This window comes from Homo sapiens, chromosome 18, assembly GCF_000001405.40.
Source record: "Homo sapiens chromosome 18, GRCh38.p14 Primary Assembly".
NCBI classification, from domain to species: Eukaryota; Metazoa; Chordata; class Mammalia; order Primates; family Hominidae; genus Homo; species Homo sapiens.
In genome coordinates, this window is record NC_000018.10 from 42,537,947 (window position 1) to 42,564,699 (window position 26,753).

The 26,753-nt window shown below is 38.3% G+C and overlaps 1 long non-coding RNA gene across 1 annotated transcript in view, besides 1 other annotated feature; it reads left to right on the plus strand.

Annotated features, from left to right (window-relative positions):
• The window catches only part of LINC00907 (long intergenic non-protein coding RNA 907), a 504,759-nt gene that overhangs the window by 351,279 nt on the left and 126,727 nt on the right, over positions 1-26,753 (plus strand). The gene's annotated exons all lie outside the window — the stretch shown is intronic.
• Positions 21,338-21,632: a silencer, noted in NCBI's record as "tiled region #1896; K562 Repressive non-DNase unmatched - State 24:Quies". NCBI's record gives its function as "represses a minimal TATA promoter and a strong SV40 promoter by Sharpr-MPRA in K562 cells {active_cell/tissue: K562}" and the evidence as "EXISTENCE:reporter gene assay evidence [ECO:0000049][PMID:27701403]".

Consider the following 26,753-nt stretch of genomic DNA (forward strand, 5'->3'; position numbering starts at 1 on the left):
AAATGGGAATGTATTAATCCAATTATAGCAGACATAATCTGAAAATATTTCTTAGCTGATAAAGACACATTTAACTGATAGTTGATGTATCTGTATATTCATACAGTATAATTATTGAAGGAGAAATTTCAATGATATAAGAAAAATTCTGATGCATTCATGTTGTCAGTCAAAAATTTAAGTTTGAGATACAGTGGGATACATAATCAAAAGTGTAGGATACAATTGCTTCCCTCAGGACCAGCTTCCAAGCAAAATCATGTTTAAGCAAAGTTCCCCTTGACCACCCATGTTTGCATTCAGACTCCTTTTTCTGTGTTTTGGGGGCCAGTCTCTGACTCATGCCTCTGTTCTCAGATCCCCTTCAGGAGACCACCTGCCTCAGGATCTCTCACCCATCTTCCCTGTTCCTATGGCTCTTCAAATGGGCTTTTAGATTGTTAATTAACAATCTAAAGCTGTTGTAAATTAATTCTATTTAATTCACTGGTGAAACTTTGTGCACTTCAATAGGCAATTTCTTACCCAGTTGAGAATATTCTTTCAGAAAAAGAAAATATTCAGACACTAAAATAGATATCTTAAAGATGCCAGAGTTAACCCTATTTTAAGTGTTAATTACATTTATCAAATGTTGTATATACCATTGTTTTATTAAGGGATTGGAAAACTAATGCTCTTAAATTGAAATTATGCTTACCATGTCATATACAATCAATATAGTTAGGACAGACAATAAAATCTCTTTTAAAAGCACATATATAGAAGACTGAGTTGCTTTGTGTAGCAATGAAGCAGGATGCTTATCCCAACATTTTTAATCTTTATTGTCTCAAAGACAATTTGTACTTGTGCATTACATGTGTGCAAATGTGGGTGTGTGGGACTATATCTTTAACTTTTTAATGTATTATTATTATTATTATTATTATTATTAAGATGGAGTTTCGCTCTTGTTGCCCAGGCTGGAGTGCAGTGGCACGATCTCGGCTCACCACAACCTCCACCTCCCGAGTTCAAGTGATTCTCCTGCTTCAGCCTCACGTGTAGCTGGGATTACAGGCATGCGCCACCACGCCCAGCGAATTTTGTATTTTTAGTAGAGACAGAGTTTCTCCATGTTAGGCTGATCTCGAACTCCCAACCTCAGGTGATCTGCCTGCCTTGGCATTACTTTTTAACCATACCCCATTCTTTTCTGTTTCTTTTATTTGCAGAAAAAAAAATTCCATATTTCTTATGCTAATAAACAAAACAGTATTTATCCAATTCCAAAACAAATACTATATAAAATGACAATAATTAAAACTATCCACACATACATTTATTACTAAAAAACACAGAAACAAAACATATTCTTGTCAAAATTTAGATTTGTAAAAATTTGATTAAGAGAAATTAGGTATAATGAAAATGACAAATGCAAAAGTAACAACATAGGAAAAAATATCTGTAAATTATGGTGTTATTTTAAAATTTAATCGTACTTATTCCAAATTGACATGAGTTTTTAAAAATTAAAATTAAAAAAAAGATTGAAAATGGTTTGCTCTGTGGAAAATTCATCATAGAATTCAATTGAGTTCATGGAATTCAATCTGGAAAGAAGAACCTGTAATCAATATTAGCATAATTCACATGAAAATGTTTTTACAATGCCCTCAGGATCAATATGAGCCTCAGCAGAGTGGATCACAATATCCTCACAAGCTCAATTTGAGACAGATTACAGATATAAATACAGAATAACAATGAAGTTTTTAGAAGAAAAAAATTTACAAAACCATCATTGTGACCTTGTAGTAGGCAAAATTTCTTTTAATAGAATACAAAAAATTACTAATCATAGAAATTAAAAACAACTACTTTCAAAAGACATCAAGAGTGAAAAGACACTCCATAGGAAGGAGAGAAGATAATCATAAAGCATATGTCAAAAAAAAGATTCATAGCCAGAATGTATAAATAAATAATTTCTACCAATTAATTTAAAAATCAAACCAATGGAGAAATGGACAAAAAGCTTGAACAGGGACCTAGGGAAAATGGATATCCAAATGGACAAAAGCACAAAAATTAATTTTGAGGAAATGCAAATTAAAACCATAATGCCATACACAAAAACTCAACATAACTATTTTTTTTTTTAAAAAAAGAGAGATAATACCAAATTGTTGGCATGAGTATGGAGTGACTGGGTCTCTCTTGCTTTGCTAGTAAGAATTTAAATTGGTACAATTGCTTCAGGAAACATTATATAATATCTACTAAAGCTGCACATTGCATATCCTATGATCGAGCAAATCTACCTGAGAAATAAACCCCAAAGAAATGAGTGCTTATGTCCAACAAAAGACAGGTAATTTAAGTATTACCAATGGCCAGGCACAGTGGCTTAAGTCTAATCCAGCACTTTGGGAGGCTGAGGTGGGCGGATCATGAGGTCAGGAGATTGAGTCCATACCGGCTAACACAGTGAAACTCCATCTCTATTAAAAATACAAAAAAATTAGCCAGGTGTGGTGGCACACGCCTAAGAGTCCCAGCTACTCAGGAGGCTGACGCAGGAGAATCACTTGAACTCAGGAGGCAGAGGTTGCAGTGAGCCAAGATTGCACCACTGCACTCCAGCCTGGGCGACAGAGTGAGACTCCATCTCAAAAAAAAACAAAAAACAAACAAACAAAAAAACACACACACACACAAGAAAGTATTACCAATAACATTATTGATATGAAGCATAGGATGGATAAGTATATTGTCATATACTCCTACAATGAAATACCATACAGCAACCAAAATGAATAAACTCCAAGTACATGCAACAGTGTGGATTACCTCTCAGACATATTATTGAGTGAAAGAAGCCAGACATAAATGATCAGACAAAGTTGAATTCATTTTTATAAATCTCAAAAAGAGGAAAAATTAATCTATACCATTAGAAATGAGTGGTCTCCTTTAGTTGGAGTAGAAGATAGTTAGCAACCAGAAGGGACTTAGGAGGTACACCTTCTGGAGTCTGTTGATATTTTGTTTCCTGATCTGGGTGTTAATTACATGACTGTGTTCACATTTTGGAAATTTCATTGAATATGATTTGTGTATTTTCTTTTTATTTATTATACTTTAAGTTCTAGGGTACACGTGCACAACGTGCAGGTTTTTTACATATGTATACATCTGCCATGTTGGTGTGCTGCACCCATTAACTCATCATTTACATTAGATATATCTCCTAATGCTATCCCTCCCCACTCCCCCTACCCCACGTCAGGCCCTGGTGTGTGACGTTCCCCTTCCTGTGTCCAAGTGTTCTCATTGTTCAATTCCCATCTATGAGTGAGAACATGCAGTGTTTGGTTTTTTGTCCTTGCGATAATTTGCTGAGAATGATGGTTTCCAGCTTCATTCATGTCCCTACAAAGGACATGAACTCATCCTTTTTTATGGCTGCTAGTATTCCATGGTGTATATGTGTCACATTTTCTTAATCTATCACTGATGGACATTTGGGTTGGTTCCAAGTCTTTGCTATTGTGAATAGTGCCACAATAAACATATGTGTGCATGTGTCTTTATAGCAGCATGATTTATAATCCTTTGGGTATATACCCAGTAATGGGATGGCTGGGTCAAATGGTATTTCTAGTTCTAGATACTTGAGGAATCGCCACATTGTCTTCCACAATGGTTAAACCAGTTTACAGTCCCACCAACAGTGTAAAAGTGTTCCTATTTCTCCACATCCCCTCCAGCACCTGTTGTTTCCTGACTTTTTAATGAATGCCATTCTAACTGGTGTGAGATGTTACCTCATTGTAGTTTTGATTTGCATTTCTCTGATGGCCAGTGATGATGAGCACTTTTTCATGCATCTGTTGGCTGCATAAATGTCTTCTTTTGAGGAGTATCTGTTCATATCCTTCACCCACTTTTTGATAGGGTTGTTTGTTTTTTTCATGTAAATTTGTTTGAGTTCTTTGTAGATTCTGGATATTAGCCCTTTGTCAGATGAGCAGATTGCAAAACTTTTTTCCCATTCTGTAGGTTGCCTGTTTACTCTGATGGTAGTTTCTTTTGCTGTGCAGAAGCTCTTTAGTTTAATTAGATCCCATTTGTCAATTTTGGCTTTTGTTGCCATTGCTTTTCGTGTTTTAGACATGAAGTTCTTGCCCGTGCCTATGTCCTGAATGGTATTGCTTAGGTTTTCTTCTAGGGTTTTGTAGTTTTGGGTTCTACATTTAAGTCTTTAATCTAGCTTGAGTTAATTTTTGTATAAGGTGTAAGGAAGGGGTCCAGTTTCAGCTTTCTACATATGGCTAGCCAGTTTTCCCAGCACCATTTATTAAATAGAGAATCTTTTCCCCATTTCTTGTTTTTGTCAGGTTTGTCAAAGATCAGATGGTTGTAGATGTGTGGTATTATTTCTGAGGGCTCTGTTCTGTTCCATTGGTCTATATCTCTGTTTTGGTACCAGTACCATGCTGTTTTGGTTACTGTCACCTTGTAGTATACTTTGAAGTCAGGTACCGTGATGCCTCCAGCTTTGTTCTTTTGGCTTAGGATTGTCTTGGCAATGTGGGCTCTTTTTTGTTTCCATAGGAACTTTAAAGTAGTTTTTTCCAATTCTGTGAAGAAAGTCATTGGTAGCTTGATGGGGATGGCATTGAATCTATAAATTACCTTGGGCAGTATGGCCATTTTCATGATATTGATTCTTCCTATCCATGGGCATGGAATGTTCTTCCATTTGTGTCCTCTTTTATTTCATTGAGCAGTGGTTCTCTTTGAAGCAATTGTGAATGGGAGTTCACCATGATTTGGCTCTCTGTTTGTCTGTTATTGGTGTATAAGAATGCTTGTGATTTTTGCACATTGATTTTGTATCCTGAGACTTTGCTGAAGTTGCTTATCAGCTTAAGGAGATTTTGGGCTGAGACAATGGGGTTTTCTTAATGTACAATCATGTCATCTGCAAACAGGGACAATTTGACTCCCTCTTTTCCTAATAGAATACCTTTTATTTCTTTCTCCTGCCTGATTGCCCTGGCCAGAACTTCCAACACTATGTTGAATAGGAGTGGTGAGAGAAGGCATCCCTGTCTTGTGCCAGTTTTCAAAGGGAATGCTTCCAGTTTTTGCCTATTCAGTATGATATTGGCTGCGGGTTCATCATAAATAGCTCTTATTATTTTGAGGTACATCCCATCAATACCTCTTGAAAATTAAATGTGATGTGTGTACTTTTTGTATATGTATGCTATTTTCAATGAAAATTGAAAGACTTATTAAGATTAATACACTCTAAATGTCTCCCTACCCGATTCCCAAGGTCTGTTTTACGAGAAAGTAAGAATAAAAGTGCATCACTGAAAAAGAAATGTTCTATACTACTTCCCTTTCCTTCTCAGTGTGAAGGTGCCTTGAATTTAATATGGGAAGTATGTAGTGGGTGGGTAAACATTTCCTTTGCTGAAGGCGTAAAAGTTAGTGATAATCTTCAGTGAAAAGTTTTCTGACATTTCCCCAGGAGAACGGTTTCTACAGCATCTTCAGCCTAGAAAATATGTGGCCTTCAATACAACCTCTTTTATTGTCATAATGAGGAGAATAGGGTACGTGAGTGAGGGGCTCCAGATAGAAAATTGCTTCACTTTTTTCAACCAAAACTCACTGTACCACTGCAAGGCTAGGAAAGGAACCAGAAGAAGAGGTATACATAAAGAACTCCTCTGTGGAAAACTTTGAAATGCTCACATGTAATGAAGAGACCTAAATTTCTTGGCTAGTGGGGCTCAGCCACAAACTAATGGGGAATGTTGTAGGGAAGCACTCCTTTCTTTCAACCCATGCCGATCTCCACTGTGCATAAACTCCAGTAACATATTCTAATATATTTACATCTGAAAATAAAGATGTACAAATCATTCGAAGCATATATGTGAGTACTCAATGAAATTCTTAAATTGTGGCCTTTACATTTGTGTGTAGAGAAACTTGGCTTGTATGGCTTACTTTCTACGGTGGCTGGCACAGGGAAGCCATTGCCTGCCATTTTGAGAATCCAGTGTTTTGGCCACACAGGAATCTTACAATCTTGGGTAATACTTTCTGAAAAAAGAAGCCATCAGGACAAGAGAGTTCTTTATAGAGAGTTTTCCACAGAAACCTAATCATATATATATATATAGTAAAAATATATATGTGTGGCTGGGAGCAGTGGCTCATGCCTGTAATCCCAGAACTTTGGGAGGCGGAGGCAGGCGGATCACAAGGTCAGGCTTTTGAGACCAGCCTGGCCAATGTGGTGAAACCCCACCTCTACTAAAAACACAAAATTAGCCGGGTGTGGTGGTGCATGCCTGTAATCCCAGCTACTTGGGAGGCTGAGACAGGACAATCGCTTGAACCTGGGGGGCTGAGGTTGTGGTGAGCCGAGATCGTGCCATTGCACTCCAACCTGGGCAACAAGAGTGAAACTCCATCTCAAAAAAAAAATATATATATATATATATATATTTATACATATATATGCATGTCTATATTATATAAAATATATATTATGTTATATAATATATGATATATAAAATATAATTATATATACCATATATTACATTTTATATATATATATATATAGAACTACCAGGATACAAAAATAATATTAAACAATATGATATTGTCTATTTTCATTTTCAGGTAACATCTCATCCTCCAATAGTCTCCTTCATCCCCCTTTTGCTGTCTCACTAGACTAAGTTCTAACAGCTACTAGGTGGAGAATTGGAGCAGTTATTCAAATAATTCAGGTTCAAAAGACAGGACACAACACCATTGACTGATTCATTATTTCTCACAATATTGATTTTATTGGCCTGAATAACCTTAATAAATGTCCACTTGGCCTTGATATTCACATACAAAGACAGCTTTCAGCAATTATCAAACAAAAGATGAAATTTAAAAATCTTTTGGAGCGTTCAATTCCTTTTTGTCCTACAGCATGAAAGCCAGGCTTTATTTTCATGGCCATGTCAATCACTGTGTTACAGACAATATGGTTTAGAAAATGCAGAGGTGGGGTAGAAATTATCCTTGAAACTCTTACTATTTCTAGACCATAAAAAATTTCTTCATCTGAGCCTGATCAGCATTATCTCAAAACAGACATTTCTGAAAACTAATAATAACATCAGGTATGCTTCAACATTTACATTTCCTATTAAATTGAAATTTAAACACCTCCTCCTCCTGAAAATGCTGGATATGTGCATATTTAGATAAGTTTTATTAGCTAATGAATTAGATTCCAGGAAAGTCAGCATCTTCCAAGTCACTAGTTTACATAATTAAAACTCTATTGACTTCATTTGTTATGCAAAATAATGATTTTGGGATTTGGGGATTAGAGGACTTTTGTTAGGGAGCTAGAATGTGCTGATTTTATGGGCTTCCTTCATAGATTTTGTGACTCACATATACAAAAACAGTTGTTATACATTTCATAAAGGTTTGAGGCAAAGAAAGAAGAGCTCAGAGTTTGGGGAAAGTATTTTTTTGCAATATTTCTCCATTTATATGTCTGCATTTAATTTTCATTTTCAAGAAAAACAAATAAACTTACAAAAAAAAACCTCTTAAATGAGGTCCTCTCTTTTTGATCAGGAGGTAACAAGTTCTCTGCTAGTTACAGATAGGGACCTCTGTGTTGGAGACCACCTGATAACATAAAGACAGACTGTGCAGTGTGGGTCTCTGTGGTTATTTTAGAGCTTCACACTTAAGAAGAAATGTGTCTTCACTCCTTCAGCTATTTCTTGGCATTGTTTAATGCTTTAAACAATTTCCAACATATTTAAACACACATGTTCTTACATTCCTCATTGCTGGCCCATGAGCTAGGTAGGGTAGCTTATGAACTCTATTTTTAAGTGGGAAAACGGAAGTCTAAGGGTCCTGAGGTTTCCAATCTCTGTGGCCAAATTCGCACACAGAGCAGAAGTTGTAACTCATGGCTGGACGCTGTCCTGAGTCTCTGTGAGTCTGATGTCTGATGTCTTAACAAAACACCTAAGCATGACTCACTCAGTTGAGTCACATGTGGCATATATGAAGGGAAGAATAAAATTGCGTTTGAGGAATAAGAGGGATCTCTGACTGTACTCAACAATGGCCCTTCAGAGGCAAGAGGAGGAATACTGGAACCTTCTGTATATTTTCTTTTTTAGCTGTAATTATGGATGCTGATGTGTTTTTATTGTGATCGTTGTTGCTCTGTTGTCCAAGTGATACTTTTCTGATGCCTAGAAAATATGCAAAAACATCTATTTTAGGTTCATACAGAAAATAATATTACAACATATAAATCATGTTGTTTGTTTGATTACTTGCTTAAATGATCAGAAGTTCAATAGATCAGGACAAGAATAATTAATCATTCAAAATGTATTTATTTAGTAGTTACTCTGTGCTTTGTTCTGTATTACATATTCTAAAAGATACAGAAATTATAAAACACTGTCTCAGTCTTGGCACTGACTATGTTTTATGAGGTGAGACACTTATACATGAGTCCAATAACACTTAAATAATTAAATATATTACTGACAGTAAAGATGAAATAAGAAATCAGTATGGTGACAGCCAGTATTAGACAGGGGCTAAATGCAGGCACCCTGCAACTAGACTATCCAGATTTTAAACCCTGGTTGCACCATCCACTAACTCTATGGCCTCACTCTTTCATTATTATTATTATTATCATTAATTATTATTATTATCCTTTAAGTTCTAGGGTACATGTACACGACGTGCAGGTTTGTTACATAGGTATACATGTGACATGTTGGTTTGCTGCACCCATCAACTCATCATTTACATTAGGTATTTCTCCTAATGCTATCTCTCCCCCAGCCCCCCACCCCACGACAGGCCCTAGTGTGTGATGTTCCCTGCCCTGCGTCCAAGTGTTCTCATTGTTCAATTCCTACCTATGACTGACAACATGCAGTGTTTGGTTTTCTGTCCTTGTGATAGTTTGCTGAGAATGATGGTTTCCAGCTTCATCCATGTCCCTGCAAAGGACATGAACTCATCCTTTTTTATGGCTGCATAGTATTCCATGGTGTATATGTGCCACATTTTCTTAATCCAGTCTATCATTGATGGACATTTGGGTTGGTTCCAAGTCTTTGCCATTGTGAATAGTGCTGCAATAAACATACATGTACATGTGTCTTTATAGTAGCATGATCTATAACCCTTTGGGTATATACCCAATAATGGGATCGCTGGGTCAAATGGTATTTCTAGTCCTAGATCCTTGAGGAATCGCCACACTGTCTTCCACAATGGTTGAACTAATGTAGACTCCCACCAACAATGTAAAAGCGTTCCTATTTCTCCACATCCTCTCCAGCATCTGTTGTTTCCTGACTTTTTAATATTGCCATTCTAACTGGCATGAGATGGTATCTCATTAAGCTTTTGATTTGCATTTCTCTGATGGCCAGTGATGAACATTTTTTCATGTGTCTGTTGGCTGCATAAATGTTTTCTTTTCAGAGTGTCTGTTCATAACCTTTGCCCACGTTTTGATGGGGTTGTTTTTTTCTTGTAAATTTGTTTAAGTTCTTTGTGGATTCTGGATATTAGCCCTTTGTCAGATGAGTAGATTGCAAACATTTTCTCCCATTCTGTAGGTTGCTTGTTCACTCTGATGGTAGCTTCTTTTGCTGTGCAGAAGCTCTTTAGTTTAATTAGATCCCATTTGTCTATTTTAGCTTTTGTTGCCATTGCTTTTGGTGTTTTAGTTATGAAGCCTTTGCCCATGCCTATGTCCTGAATGGTATTGGCTAGGTTTTCTTCTAGGGTTTTTTACAATTTTAGGTCAAACATTTAAGTCTTTATTCCATCTTGAATTAACTTTTGAATAAGGTGTAAGGAAGGGATCCAATTTCAGTTTTCTACATATGGCTAGCCAGTTTTCCCAGCACCATTTATTAAATAGGGAATCTTTTCCCCATTTCTTGTTTTTGTCAGGTTTGTCAAAGATCAGATGGTTGTAGATGTGTGGTGTTATTTCTGAGGCCTCTGTTCTGTTCCATTGGTCTATATATCTGTTTTGGTACCAGTACCATGCTGTTTTGGTTACTGTAGCCTTGTAGTATAGTATGAAGTCAGGTAGTGTGATGCCTCTAGCTTTGTTCTTTTTGCTTAGGATTGTCTTGGCAATGTGGGCTCTTTTTTGTTTCCATATGAACTTTAAAGTAGTTTTTTCCAATTCTGTGAAGAGAGTCATTGGTAGCTTGATGGAGATGGCATTGTATGGCCTCTATCTTAACCTCCCTCTGTCTCAGTTTTCTTATCTGTCAAATATAGATAATAATAACTATTAGTGCTACTGTGAAAATTAAATCTATTAAAACATGTAATTTTCAGCGCAGAGTATGTGACCAATTATTGTTTGCTATTATTATGGGCTGGGACATACCTAGAGGTCTTAGATAGGAGATGAGACTTGGAGTAAATTATTTATAATAAAATAATTCGAATGAAGGAGGGAATGGATTCTGGTCAGGTTAGTGACATGAATACTTAAGTAGCTATAGTAGGGATGGAAGTAGCTAGCTCATGGATTATGAAAAACCAGATCATCAGGAGAAGATGAAGTAAAAAGAGGAGAAATAGTGCTGAATAGATGGGGAGGTTTGGAAAAACTGGCTGTGGTTCATGAAGAGCTGGCCTGCCAGAAAGCTGGAGCAGGAAGTTTGCTTTGGCTACTGCCTTTAGTCTCTCCTTGGATTCAAAGACATTCATTTACAAAGATAAGCTGGCTGCATGGTTTTATATTTAATTGTGAACAAAGTAACATAGTTATTTCAAAGAAATTTTAAACTGTAAGAATTAATAGTTTAGTAGTTTATCCAGAAACTTCCCTGGACAACACTATGAATGAAAGAAAGAAAGCATGAATGAATGAATGAAATCTTTAGTTCATGGAAAGCTATCTTCATGTAGAGTGTTCTGTTAGCACGGGAACCTCACAGTGTCAGCCCTTAAAGGGGGAATGTGATATATTTTAGAAGTAGTGAAGGTTATGTGCAATGGTCTTTCTTCTTGTTTCTTCTGGCCACTGTCACTCCTTATGAGTGTCCATTGTTCCAGACCTTTACATTATTTACCATTGCTTCTCCTTCTCCCCCAGTCAATCTTCCCCCAAATTAAATATTTCTGACTTATGTTTTAATCATCAATGTATTTCTGGGAAAATTAGCAAATAATATATACAGCAAACAGATAAGGATTCTTTATATTTATTTGCATTGTTATATATATATATATTACATTATATTAGTTTATTTCTACATCCTGTTCAATAGATTTTATGGGACAAGCCTGGAAGCTGTGTATATCAATGACTGTCTGTAGCAATATAAGGAGCTTGCACCAGAATATAAATCTAAATATTGCTTCCCTTCTCAAGAAAGTTGTGTTTCAAAAAAGTCAGTCTGAAATATAAAGAGCTTGGAATTCATCATCCCCTTCTTTACACCAAAAATGTACTTGAGCAATTTAAAAATCAACAACTTTTTTTTTGGCCGATCAGAGAACTGGGGTTGAAAAGCAAACTGGCACCCCAAAATCTGGAAAGGCAGGTATATCTGAGGAGTCACAGCTAAGATCTGCATACCTGAAATGGAAGCCACTGGAGCCATAAACTAGTAAGAGCACCAATATGGTAATTTTGTCAAATTGCTGGGAGCTGAGTGTGAACTAGTGTGGAAGTGAGAACATATGGGGTTTGGAAGAGTCACAGTCTTAGGGGAACTCCCACAATTTTGTGGCTTTACCCCTGGAAACTTCAACATGTTTTCGGAATGAATATCGAAGTAATATTTCCTCACGGTTTGAGGGAAAGGGTGATGATGTGAGGAGAGTAACTACTGTGAAATAAGTCCAGAGTGTTCTCCATAATGAAGACTTACTCTGCAGGGAAGAAGATTTTACCAGAGTCTTAGGTCAGCTTGGAGAAAGGCACTCATTAGAATCCAGCTCCCTCTAGCCTTCCTGTCTCACCAAAGTGGGGAAATACAAAAGCTATACAACAGGAGAAACAGTTGGAAACTCATAGCTTGTATACAGCATAGAAGGCCACTAAACGACTGTTCAATCATAAGATTATAGAACATTCTTTCTCCCCCCCCACTACCATCCTTACCAGTACACCAAAAAGGCTCCAGTATAGTAACAGTGTATTAGAGCTGAAAAGGGTGCAAGACACAGACTGTCTCTGAGAAGGACAGAAGAATTGGAGTACTCTTCTATAAGGTATGTACTTTATATAAAGTGGCACAGTGTTATTTGAGGGAGAACTTATTAGTTGAAAATGTGTATCAGAAGCTCTAGGGCAACCACTAAAATAAACAAAAAAGAATTGTAATTGATACGATAAGAGAGAAAATAAAATAGAGTAATATGAAATACTAAATTAAAACTAAAGAAGATAGAGAAAGAGTAAAAGCAACAAATAGAAAATAGTCACATATGCAATAGATATTAATCAAACTATATAGATGATGACATTAAACATGAAATGTCTAAATACACTAATTAAAAGACAGAGATAAGAAAATAAAACTCAGCTATATGTGGTCTGCAAGAAGCCCACTTTAAATACAAAGACATAGATAGGTTAAATGTAAAGGAATAGATAAAGATATACCATGCTGACATTAATCAAAATGAATCTGGAATAGCTATATTAATTTAAAATCAAAAAGATGTTTGGGAAAAAATTATTAGAGAAAAAAGAAGCACTGCATGATGGTAAAGGGATAAATTCTCCAAGAAGACATAAGAATTCTAAATGGATATGCACCTAACACACATGTCAAAATACATGAGGTCGAAACTCATAGAACTGAAAGGAGAACAGAGAAACCCAGTATTGTAATTAAAGATGACAACACCCCTTTTTCAGTGATAAAATAAAGCGATACATAAATAATTAATAAAATAATGAATACACACATAATAAAAATATTGTTAGATTGTAATTCAAAGTATAAAATAGACATCTGTGAGTCCATGGTAATATAAATAAATGCTTGAGTAAATATATGTGGAAGAAGAGACTTATCTCCCATGCAAAGTATTCTAATTGATTTATGTAGATACTCTACCCTGAAGGAAGCAGCACACAACCCTCCTCTGTTTAATGTGGGCTGCACATAGTGATTTCTTCCAAAGACTCCAATGTAGAAAAGGGGAAAAGAATAAGTTTACAGTGGAGAAACCTTACAAAATGATCAAAGCCAAGTGATTGAGGTAAGCTTCAACAGAGAAACCACGTTGTCAGCATGCACTCTTCATACAATGTGTTAAAAATGGTACTTTACCTCTGTGATCTTTCTCCCAAAAACACAATCACAGTCTAATAATGAGTAAAACATTAGAAAATCAAAATAGAGAGACTTTCTACAAAATATTCACCAGCACTCCTCAAAACTGTCCAGGTCATCTTGAGGAAAGTCTGAGAAACTCTCACAGCAAGAGGAGCTTTAGGAAGCATGACTATTTAATAAATACAAAGTGATATCCTTCATGGGATCCTGGAACAAATAAAAAGGACATTAAAACAAAAAATAAGGAAATCTGAAATTTCCTTAGCTTATAAAATTACAGACTTTCAGTAATAATAATGTATCAATATTGATTAATTAATTGTATCAAAAGTACCATATGATCATAAGATGTTAAACATAGGGAAAATGAGTATGGGGTACATGGGAACTCTCTGTAAAATCTTAATTAATTTTTCTAAAAAACCAAAACTGTTGGTAAATAATTTTTTTAAATAGTCAAACCAGTGCTCTTAATGACATGGAGGAGAGAAATGCTGGTGCAAATATGTTTTTATATTACCATAGACCAGTAACAAGTAGTTTGAGTTCATTTTTCTGTTATCCCCACACTTCGGGCAACTCTTGTGTACATCTCTTCTCACATTCCATGAAAAAAACTAATCTGATGGTCCCAGTGAAATTCAATGAAAGCTGCAGAATAGTTTTCCTGTGTGATCAGAAGGAAAATGTAGCAGTTTACTGAACTTATAAAATGTCTCTGCCACATGCTTTCAATGGATCGTTCTGGGAACTTTTGGGAAAAGACTCAAGTGGAGGTCAGGGAGGAAGCCAGAAGCCTGTTTAGCATTCTCCCCTTGCTGCCCAAAAAATTCCTAGCTCATGTCTGTGACTAAGGGTTTCTTCATCTGAAGGCTTTCCTTGACCTTCCTAGGTACGTCTTTCTGTTTTACACCATCATAGCACCAGACACCACAATTGCAATTTTACATTTCTGTGTATGATAGGATAATGTTTGTCTCCACCATTAGATTATAAACTTATAAAAATTATTTAAAATATTATAAAATTATTTAACATTTTATTAAAATATAAAAGCATATTAAAAATGAGGGCAGAAACTGGATCTTTCACTTGCGTCCCTGTGAAGAGACTACCAAACAGGCTTTGTGTGAGCAATAAACCTTTTAATCACCTGGGTTCAGGCAGACTGAGTCTGAAAAGAGAGTCAGCAAAGGGAGATAAGGGTGGGGCTGTTTTATAGGATTTGGGTAGATAAAGGAAAATTACAGTCAAAGGGGATTTGTTCTCTGGTGGGCAGGAGTGGGGGTCACAAGGTGCTCAGTGGGGGAGCATTTTGAGCCAGGATAAGCCAGGAAAAGGACTTTCACAAGGTAATGTCATCACTTAAGGCAAGGACCGGCTGTTTTCACTTCTTTTGTGGTGGAATGTCATCAGTTAAGGCGGGGCAGGGCATTTTCACTTCTTTTGTGATTCTTCAGTTACTTCAGGCCATCTGGGCAGAGTAAACAAGAGTAAAGCATTTATAAGTAGTTGAGAATGGAGAATAGGAGTATGACCAGACAGAAGATAGCAGGGATGACTAGCTTTTTGGGGCTCGGCCTAAGTGGTGGGGGTGACTTCGTAAAGCCCTGTTACAAAAAGTAGGGTAAGGACGAACAGACCTAATAGAATGAAGGAATGTGTTAGGCTCATAAGGGTTATTACTGTTTTTCATGAATATGAGTGAGTTTAAGGGAAGTAGGGGAGAGTACTTGAGACTTCCAGGAGGAAGAGGAGAGATTAGGCTGGCTGTCCAATGGACACAGCTTTATTCTGGAATGGTGAACCCAGTGGGGAGGATCCTGCAGGCAGACAGCAGTTGGGGTACTACAGATAACTAAGTAGGGTCCAGTCCATCGAGGTTGTAGAGTTTGAGGGGTCAGATTCTTAACAAGAACTGATCGTCCAGCTAGGGTGTCTTCATGTGGCTGGGGATCTGGAGTAGGAAAGAGAAGATTAGCAGCCTGGCGAATTTCCTGTCTAGCCTGTTGGAGGACTGGAAGATAGTCGCCTAGAGGGCTGGTGTCTGGGATGAGGTTGGGGCCAACCAAGAAAGGGCGTCCATATAAAAGTTCAAATGGACTGTACCCTGTAGCATCTCGAGGATAGGATCTAATTCTGAAAAGGGCAAGAGGTAAAAGTACTGTCCAATCCTTTTTAAGTTGGAGGCTGAGCTTGGTGAGGTGTGTCTTTAAAAGACCATTAGTCCATTCTACCTTTCCTGAAGATTGAGGACGGTAAGGGATATGAAGGTTCCACTGAATACCAAGAGCCTGAGAAACTGCTTGGGTGATTTGACTAGTAAAGGCTGGTCCGTTATCAGATTGTATAGAGGTGGGAAGGCCAAACCGAGGAATTGTGTCTGACAGAAGGGAAGAAATGACTGCGGTGGCCTTCTCAGACTCTGTGGGAAAGGCCTCTACCCATCCAGTGAAAGTGTCTACCCAGACGAACAGATATTTTAGTTTTGGGGCATGTGAGTAAAGTCAATTTGCCAGTCCTGGGCAGGGGCAAATCCCCGAGTTTGATGTGTAGGGAAGGGAGGGGGCCTGAACAATCCCTGAGGGGTAGTAGAATAGCAGATGGAACACTGAGAAGTGGTCTCCTTGAGGATAGGTTTCCATGATGGAAAGGAAATGAGAGGTTCTAAGAGAGGGGCTAGCAGCTTTTAACCTACATGGAAGAGGTTATGAAATGACGACAGAATAGAATGGGCCTGTGAGGCTGGAAGGAGATATTTTCCTTGGTCTAAGAACCATTTGCCTTGTGTGGGAAGAGATTGATAGGTGGAAGTTTCAGCAGGGGAGTAGGTGGGAGTGACCGATGTGAAGGAGAAAAACTGGTGTGAGGGACACAAGTTGGAAAGCTAGCTGCTTGTCTAGCCACCTTATCAGCATAAGCATTGTCTAGAGCAATGGGATCTGATGCCTTTTGATGGCCTTTGCAGTGAATGACTCCATCTTCCTTTGGAAGTAAAGCGGCCTTGAGCAGAGCTTTTATTAAAAAGGCATTAATGATGGAGGACCCTTGCATAGTGAGGAAACCTCTTTCAGCCTATATAACAGCATGCTGGCGCAGAATATGAAAGGCGTATTTAGAGTCACTATAAATATTGACACGTAATCCTTTTGCAAGAGTGAGGGCTTGAATTAAGGCAACTAGTTCGGCTTGCTGAGAGGTAGTGGGGCTGGGGGCAGAGTGGTAGCCTCAATGATAGATGTGGAAGATACTATAGCATAGCCTGCCTTTGCTGGTGAGTGGCGATTAGGCCTGGTGGAACTGCCATCAATAAACTAAATGTGATCAGGGTGAGGAACAGGAAAGAAGGAAATATGGGGAAATGGGGTGAGTGTCAGGTGGATCAGAGAGATAAAGTCATGAGTGTCAGGTGTGGTATCCAGAATAATGTGGGAGGCCAGATTGAAGTCCGTGCCAGGAACAATGGTAATTGTGGGAGACTTAATAAAGAGTGAGTATAGCTGAAGAAGTGGGGGAGCAGAAAGTATATGTGTCAGATATGAGGAAGAAAATAGATTTTGGAAGTTATGAGAAATGTAGAGAGTGAGTTGAGCATAGTTCGTGATTTTTAGGGCCCCCAAAAGTATTAAAGCAGCAGCAGCTGCTGCACGCAGACATGAGGGCTAGGCTAAAACAGTAAGGTCAAGCTGTTTGGACAGAAAGGCTGAAAACAATTTGGTTGATAAGGCGCAGATACTGAACTAACCTGTAAGTCTTTTCTGGTTTTAGGACAGGTAAATTGGGGGGAATTGTAAGGAGAGTTTATAGCCTTTAAAAGGCCATACTATAACAGGTGAGTGATAACAGAATTTAATCCTTTTAAAGCGTGCTGTGGGATGGGATATTAGCATTGAGCAGGGTAAGGGTGATTAGCTTTTAATGAGATGGAAAGGGGTGCATGATCGGTCGCCAAGGAGGGAGTAGAGGTATCTTATACTTGTGGGCTAAGGTGGGGAGATACAAGGGGAGGATGTGAAGAAGGCTTTGAACTGGGGGAAAAGGTGGCAATGAGGTGAGGCTGTACCCCAGGAATAGTCAGAGAAGCAGATAATTTAGTTAAAGTGTCTCGGCCTGATAGGGGAACAGGGCAGGTGGGGATAACTAAAAAGAAGTGCTTAAAAGGTATTGCCTAAGTTGGCACCAGAGTTGGGGAGTTTTAAGAGGTTTAGAAGCCTGGCCGTCAATACCCACAATAGGTATGGAGGCAAGGGAAACAGGCCCTTGAAAAGAAGGTAATGTGGAGTGGGTAGCCTCCGTATTGGTTAACAAGGGGACGGACTTACCTTCCACTTTGAGAGTTACCTAGAGCATCTGTGATGGCCCTGTAGGCCTCTGAGGCGATCGGGCAGTGTCAGTCTTCAGCTGCTAAACCGAGAAGATCTGGGAAGGAGTCAGTCAGAGAGCCTTGGGCCAGAGTTCCAGGGGCTCTGGAAGTGGCTGCCAGGTGAGTTGAACAGTCCGATTTTCAGTGGGGTCCTGCACAGATGGGACACAGCTTAGGAGAAATCCCGGGCTGTGGGCATTCCTTGGCCCAGTGGCCAGATTTCTGGCACTTGTAGCAAGCTCCAGGGGGAGGAGGTTCTGGAGGAACCCCTGGCAGCTGCGGTTCAGGTGTTTGGAGTTCTTGTGTGCTGGAGATGTAGCTGGGGTTTCTCTCACAGTGGAGGCAAGGAATTGCAACTCAGAAATACATTGCTACTTGGCTGCCTCTATTATTGTACACCTTGAAGGTGAGGTTAATTAAGTCCTGTTGTGGGGTTTGAGGGCCGGAATTTAATTTTTGGAGCTTTATTTCATGTCGGGAACAGATTAGGTAATAAAATAAAATGCATATTGAGAATAAGACGGCCTTCTGACCTTTCAGGGTCTAGGGCTGTAAAGCGTCTCAGGGTTGCTGCCAAATGAGCCATGAACTGGGCTGGGTTTTTCATATTTGATGAAAAGAGCCTAAACACTAACTGATTTTGGGAGAGGTTGGATAAAGAAAAAGGAGAATTAACCTTGACTATGCCTTTAGCTCCAGCCACCTTTTTAAGAGGAAATTTCTGGGCAGGTGGGGGAAAGCTAGTCAAGGAATGAAACTGTAAGCTGGACCAGGTGTGAGGAGGGGAGGTGATAACAGGATTATAGGGTGGGGGAGCCGAGGCTGAGGAATAATTGAGACCTGGCTCAGCCTGGCAAGGAGGGGAGAGGTCAGATGGGTCTGTAGAAAAAGAAGATTAGAAAGACTCAGCGACGCTTGGGGTTGAGACTGAGGGGATAGGCGGGAGGGAAGGAAGGAGGATTTGGGACGAGTCGCATTGGGAACAGAGACTAGGAAGGGAACAATGTGTAAAAGAATGCCTGGATGTCAGGCACCTCAGACCGTTTGCCCATTTTATGATGAGAATTATCTAGATCTTGTAGGATGGAAAAATCGAAAATGCAACTTTTTGGCTATTTGGAACCACTGTCTAGTTTGTATTGGGGTCAAGTGGCATTGTAGAAGAAAATAAGGCATTTAGGTTTTAGGTCAGTGTGAGTTGAAGAGGTTTTAAGTTCTTGAGAACACAGGCTAAGGGAGAAGATGGAGGAGTGGAGGGTGGAAGCTTGCCCATAGTGAAGGAGGCAAGCCCAGAGAGAGAGTAGAGACACAGAGAGAAGGGGTTTGGGGGTTCTTACCCTCCAGAAAAGTGGGAAAGGTGTTGAGGAGTGGAAATAAGGGGTTGGGGCACAGAGATAAGAGGTTGGGGCACAGAAATAAGGGGCTGGGGGGTTCTTTCCCTCCAGAAAAGCAGAGAAGGGGTAGAGACAGGGAGAGAAGGGGTCAGGGTTTTTGCCCCTCCCCCCAGAAAAGCGGGACTTGCCGCTAAGGGTGAAGGACCAAGGCAGGCATCCCTGTATGGTCAGACACCTCTGAAACGTAGATGAATAATCAGAGAGGTATCCCTGCAATGATTAAACACCAAGAGAAGGCTGCCTTCCTGAGTCCATGACCGGCGCTGGAGTTTTGGGTCCACAGATAAAACCTGTCTCCTTTGTCTCTACCAGAAAATGAAAGGAATTGAAATTAAGAGAAGGGAGAGATTGAAGGGTGGTGCCAAGATTGAAAGGAGAAAGTGGTTGAGGGATAGTGAGAGAGGTTGGAGAAGACAGTAAGAATAGGCCACTTACCCTATTTAAAATTGGTGAGATGTTCCTTGGGCTGGTGGGTCTGAGGACCCGAGCTTGTAGGTGGATCTTTTTCATGGAGCAAAGAGCAGGAGGACAGGGGATTGATCTGCCAAGGGAGGTCCCCCGATCCTAGTCATGGCACCAAATTTCACTTGCATCTGTGTGAAGAGACCACCAAACAGGCTTTGTGTGAGCAATAAAGCTTTTAATCACCTGGGTGCAGGTGGGCTGAGTCTGAAAAGAGAGTCAGTGAAGGGAGATAAGAGTGGGGATGTTTTATAGGATTTGGGTAGATAAAGGAAAATTACAGTCAAAGGGGATTTGTTCTCGGGTGGGTAGGAGTGGGGGGTTGCAAGGTGCTCAGTGGGGGAGCTTTTTGAGCCAGGATGAGCCAGGGAAAGGACTTTCACAAGGTAATGTCATCACTTAAGGCAAGGACCAGCCATTTTCACTTCTTTTGTGGTGGAATGTCATCAGTTAAGGCGGGGCAGGGCATTTTCACTTCTTTTGTGATTCTTCAGTTACTTCAGGCCATCTGGGTATATACGTGCAAGTCACAGGGGATGTGATGGCTTGACTTGGGCTCAGAGGCCTGACAGGATCTGTATTTGCTGAATTTTTTAACATTAACTCCATACCTACGGATGATAAATGCTCAATAAATATTTGTTAAATTAATGGATAGAAATTATTTTGAATGCCATATTACTTTGTTAGGGTTGAGATACAAAGTACCACATATTGGGTGACTTAAACCACAAAAATTGATTTTCTTACAATTTTGAAGACTAAGACCAACGTGTTAGCTGAATTGGTTACTGTAGGGACCTTTCTCCTTGGCTTGAAGATGGCCACCTTCTGTTTGTTTTATTTTTTTCAGATGGCCTTTGTGCGTGACTGTGTCTTAATTTCCTCCTATAAGAACTCTGATAGCCCTATGTCCAAATACAAATTCTGAGGTACTGAGGGATAGGATGCCAACATATAAGTTTTTTGGGAGGTCACAGTTCAACCCATAAAAATGCATTATTAGTATTTGAGCCTAAAGGCAAGTTTAAGAATCAGTGACCTATTTAGGTGTCTCTTAGATTCAGAGGGTCAATTCCATCCTTGATCTTTTACTTCTCATTTTATATTTCTATTATCTCCTTTTCCAATAAATTCTTTACCTGTTTATTTTGACCTGAGGGTTTGGGATGGGATCTTACACTTCTGAATCTCTTTAATGTTTGGATCAGTACTTTACCTTTAACAGATAAATATAACTTACATGTGCACTTTTCAGAGGGCTTTTTCTTTATATTATGTGATAATATATAGATATGATATTATTTTCCCCATTTTACTGATGAGCAATAGAAACAATTTGCTCATAGTTATACAACTATAACTATCCCATTAAGGGATAGTTATAAAAAGAAACATGTCTTCAGACTCTGAAACGAGGTCTTTCTAAAAATTTTAATTGTTTATATACTAAAAGCTTTCATAGTCCTTACAGACTCTTTCCAAAAATCCTAAGGTAAGTTGCAGAAGAAAACTCACTGGAACCCCAAACTTTACTTACAAACATTGAATTTCTGTGGTATTAGTCCCTTTGCATCAATTTCTGCAAGAGCTAAAAATAACAAGATTAATGACAGTCATGCACTTGCATCCTCCCTTCCCAGGACCAGTCTGAGTGGTTTATATAAGAGGGGAAGGACTTTTTAGATTTCTGATTGCTCAGAGAATCTAGAAGGCCAACCCTGCTGGGGTTTGTCCAGGGCTAATGAGAGCATACTGTAATGATGGGATTTCTGTATCTGAGTGATGGCTCCCTAAGCTTCTACCCTTGAGGTCTTTTCCCTTCCCTACCAACTTATGGGGTAATTTATGCATCCCTCAAGTGTCTGCAGTCAGCCTCAAAGGCACAGGTGATGGGAGGGCCTCAGAGTCCAGCTCGGTGATAGACAGTTTCCTGCTGTTGGGCATTCCATCTATGTGAAACACTAACGTGTGAAATACCATCTCACTCACAGACTGAATTATTTTCTCCTTTCTCATTATTATGACTAAGGAAAGAGAGAATGAGGGTGAGTAAAATTTTTTTTTGGAATAGCATGTTAAAATATGACTATTAAAATATTAAAATAGCATATTAAAAGTATTAATCTCCTCTCTAAATGGGGCCACTGTGTGCTTTCTAATGTCCATCTTGATATGAGAAACCTCCTTCTCACCATTTTCTTTCACCTCCAGACATCAATCACCAGTATTATTTAGAATCAAGTGTGTGTGTTTGTGTTTGTGTGTGTGTGTGTGTGTAGGGTGTGACCATCTCTGTGTAATTCTGATTGTGTACCTTGAGACATACAGAGGATTTCTATTTCTCTTTTTTGCCTAAGAATGTATAATTAGTGTCATTTTATTGGGGAGAAATTTTATTTTTTTGTCATTTCTCTGAAGTTGACATTTGATGAGTGTATTCTGAATTCTACCACTCCTCTGGGGAAAAAAATCTCAATGGAAGATTGTACAGTTTAAGTACTTGTTTTTCCCTCTTGAGGTATGCTATTTTTAAGGTCATTAATTTAAAATAGAAATATTTCTTTAAAGCATTGGGGTAAAATTTTTTAAAATATGGTGCTTTGATATAATTTTGAGAAAAGTGCCTGAATCCTAAAACTAACTGTCTATAAAGTTAAGTCCGTATAACAAATGATTATATATATAACAAAGTAAAAGTAAATAGTGTAGAATATTAAAGTTCTCTTCCAGGGCAATGGGTATTGTGGGGGATTAAACAGAAGCCCCTTTGCTATGATCAACTGCAAAGGAAAGAAACTAAATATGATTCAGTGATAAACAAAAATAGCAAAGACTGATCAGGAAAATGAGAAAGAGCTATGCAAGTACAGATGATCACCAGGCCAGAGAATTTTAAGTGCTAATAGCTTTACTCCTGCATATTCCATCAGTAGAATGAGCTTTTTCTTTTAGTCTAAGTGACACTTTGAAGGTCTTTGCATTCATTACGCTTTTATATACTGCTTTTCTTTTCTCTTCTTTTTATTTCATCCAACACACTAAGAAATGAAGAAGTTTATTGATATATTGCCCAATAAAATACAAATCTGTTGCAACACAATGCATATATCTTATTAGCATTCTTGTTAGTTCTAAAATTCAATTCATCCATAGACACTTATTCCCAGCCTTCAAATGGAAAGCTCTCTTTATGCAAGAGAAAAAGGTATTTAAAAGTGACCAAATTTTAGAATGAGGAATTGGTTATGCTGAATTTCTGTTCCAAAATCACTAGGTAAAATTTCCATATCTAATAATGTATTTTAGGAACAAGCCAAGGTTTGTCATTAAGACATAGTAACATTAAACTAATATTTAAAAATAGATTTAGCTATATTTAATCATGAGAAAAGGATTTCTGTGGCCAGGACAAAACCCACCTTGATCCTAAAGAGACATTAGCAGTGCCCATGTCAGAGCCTTCTCACATTCTTGGAATAAAGTAAACCACCCCAAGGAAGGTGAGGGCACCAAATGGATCATTCTTCAAAATGAAAGGCAGTCTCTTACTTTCTCTTGAGACATTTCTTCCCTATTTGGGGATTTTATGACTGCTGTTCTGGAGAGCCCACATGTTTTGCTTCCATGCAGGCCAAATCCTTCTCTTGGGTTTGGGCAAGAGAAGTTAATCCACCTAACAGCATTTTGATTAGACAAGAATATCATCTGATCTTATCCAGGGACAAGAAAGTGGCATGACCAAAGGTTCTCCTTATGTCTCTTTCTTTAAATGATTTCCTAATTTTCAGAAGGGTCCTGGATAGACTAGTTTCTGATAAGGAGATTTTGCTGTGGTGTCTGTTCTTCCAGGTTAAAGGCACACAAAGCCTTCTGTGGTCCACTTGTGCTTGTCTTCTGAATTCACTGAAACATGGCAGAATAAGGTTAAGGGAAAATGAATTTTGACTTTACATAGTTAAATGAGTAGGAGTTACAGCAAAAAAAAAAAAAACAATAATAATAATAAATAAGTTTTGACTTAGTAAGGGCCTTTTTTAAGAGGAAAAGTCAGAAAGATACTTTTTCAATAGCAGTTATTATAACCCTAAGCTTGAGAGCCCATGTGCTGCTGAAAAGGATTATGGCTTTTGTATCTTAAAGACATTAGTTGCTAATTGGATTAGCCATCCTTATCAGTTTTGGATTGAGAAATACCCTTGTAATGACACAGCCTTCCATAATGAAGTGCCATGTTAATGTCTATCAGGTGGTAGGTTAGAAACACAGTTTTGAAGAGTGAATAATGACAGTAGTAACGTTCTTCAATCTGAATATAAATAATTAAACTGAAAAAATACTATTTTTAAATGTATCTACAAATAAATACGTAAGATTAATGTATATTAGCAATGCATTTAATAAACCATACTCATTAAAAATAGAATTTATAAAACCAGAACATCTTGAAAAAATCTAGACATATGGTAACTTTATGGTTGATGCAGTGAGAAAATATCATCCAAATTTTTTTTATTTTTAATATCCCTTCTATAGTAGATTGAGGGCTATTGGCCTCAATTTGTTCAGGTCCTTCGTTTTACACTGACTTTGAGCTTGGTCATAATACTTGCTTTGGACAGTGGGATGGAAGTAGGCATGATGCCTAGAGACTTGACATGCACCTTTTCATGGTGTTTGCCATATTCCTGTTCTTGGAATTCTGCTACCAAGTGAATGAGTCCAACCTAGTCTACAGGAGGATGAGCACACGCGCTCACACACACACACAATTATGTGCTCCTTGAGACATTTCTATCAATAATGGACCACATATGCAATGGTGGTCCCCGAAGATTATGAGATTTTGATACAGTATTTTTAATATACCTTTTCCAGGTTTAGATATGTTTGGATATACAAATAATTACCATTGTGTTACAATTGCCTACAGTATTCTGTATGGTAACATGTTGGACAGATTTATAGCCTAGGAGCAATAGGTCATGCCATATGTCCTAGATATGTGGTAGGCTATGCCATCTAGGTTTGTGTAAGTATATCCTGCAATGTTTGCACGACAGTGAAATTGCCTGAGGACATATTTCTCAGAATTTATCCACATTGTTAAGTAACACATGAGTGTGTGTATGTGTGTGTGTGTATATTACATTTCTTTATCCATTTATTTGTTGTTTAACACAGATTGATTCCATATCTTGGTTATTTTAAATAACATTTCAATGAACATAGGAATGCATATATATTTTTGAGATACTGATTGTATTTCCTTTAGATATATATCCAGAAGTGGAATTGTTGGATCATATGAGATGTCTATTTTAAATCTTTTTGTGAACCTCCATACCGTTTTCCAAAATGACTGTATCAATTTACATCTCCACCAACAGCATACAAGGGTTTCCTTTTTTAACACATCCTTGTCAACACTTACCTTCTGTATTTTTGATGATAGTCATTTTAATGACTGGAAGGTAACATTGTGGTTTTGATTTACATTTCCATGATGACTAGTAATGTCAACTTCTAAAAAATATGCCTGGTAGCTATTTGTACGTCTTCTTTTGAGAAATGTCTATGCAGGTTCCTTTGTTTATTTTTAAACTGGGTTATTGTCATTATTTTTTTGCTATTGAGTTGAGTTTTTACATATTTTTGGATATTACCTCCTCATCAGATGTATAAATAGTCAATATTTTTTCACATTTTGCAGGTTTTTTCCCATTTTGCAGGAAACAACTCTGCTGGTTGTTTCCTTTGCTGTACAGAAAGAAGCTTTTAAATTTGGTACAATCTCATTTGTCTATTTTTGCTTTTGCTGCCTGTACTTTGGGGGCCATATCAAAAAAATTGTTGCCCAGAGCAATCTCAAGAAACTTTTTTCACTTTGTTTTCTTCTAAAAGGCAGCGATTTTTAATGAAATTCCTTATATTCTTCTCAGGGAGAAAAATGAGACTCTAAAGCGCAGTTTCTCAGTGTGTGGCCCACAGGTCCCATACATCAGTTCTATATGACTATTGAAAATTCAGATTCCTGAATACTACTCCCATAAACTGAACTAGAATTTCTGTGGAGTACATGGTGAAGGGGAGTGGGAATGAAGCCTGGGAAACTGTATTATTCATTAAAAATCCATGTAGTTAGACTTTTGATCCAGTGCTTTGAGAGAATGAATTTTAACAAAAACTCAAGCAATTAAAATGACCAAATAAAACTAAGCTACTTGAGACCAATGAGAGAAAATTGGAGGCTCCCTCCTTAGCTGAAGTGGAAAAGAAGAGATCAGGAGACAGAGCAGGAAGAAGGGGGCAAATGTATCTTGCAAAATGGCAAGAGGCTTTGGCCTCTCTGGAGACACATAATCAGCCAGGAACCTCTGACGGGGGGACTGGCAGAACATTTAAGCACAGGAGCATTTTCTCAGCAAGTTCAAGGTGGTTGTGTTGCTGAAATAGTGAATATTCCCCACCTAGTATTTTCTACCTCCATTTATTCAATAACAGTCATCACAGTTTTAGATGCTTTCATTATGTTTTTTTTTAAATTGTTTTTGGTTTCGATAGTGTATGTGTTTGTGAGCAAGACCTGGCTTGGTGATTCACAGGTGGGTCAGTGCTGTGGGGAACAGAGAAAGCAGGCTTGGAAGGATACACTCGAAGGCAAAAGACATCCTGAGACTCTGAACCTCGACAGAACTAGCAGAAGTCTAAAGGACAGCTTTGCATGTCCACACAGGGTGTATTAGTGTTTGTTTATAGTCAATATCATCTCAAGGACTTGGGAGGTCTGGAGGGCAACTAGGTCACATAATTAAACCATTGCCAGTAGCCATCTTCTGTTTGGTTTGTGTGGTGCCAGCCAAGGCCTCCAGACACAGTCAGTGGATACTGTTAACTGCTACTTCTTCTACAGATGGTGATATGGTTTGGCTCTGTGTCACCACCAAATCTCCTCTTGAATTGTAATCCTCACATGTTGAGGGAGAGACCCGCTGGGAGGTGATTGGATCATGGGGTCAGTTTCCCCCATACTGTTCTCATGATAGTGAGGGAGTTCTCATGAGATCTGATGGCTTAAAAGGGGCAATTTCCCCTGCACTCTCTCTCTCTCTCCTTCTGCCATGTAAG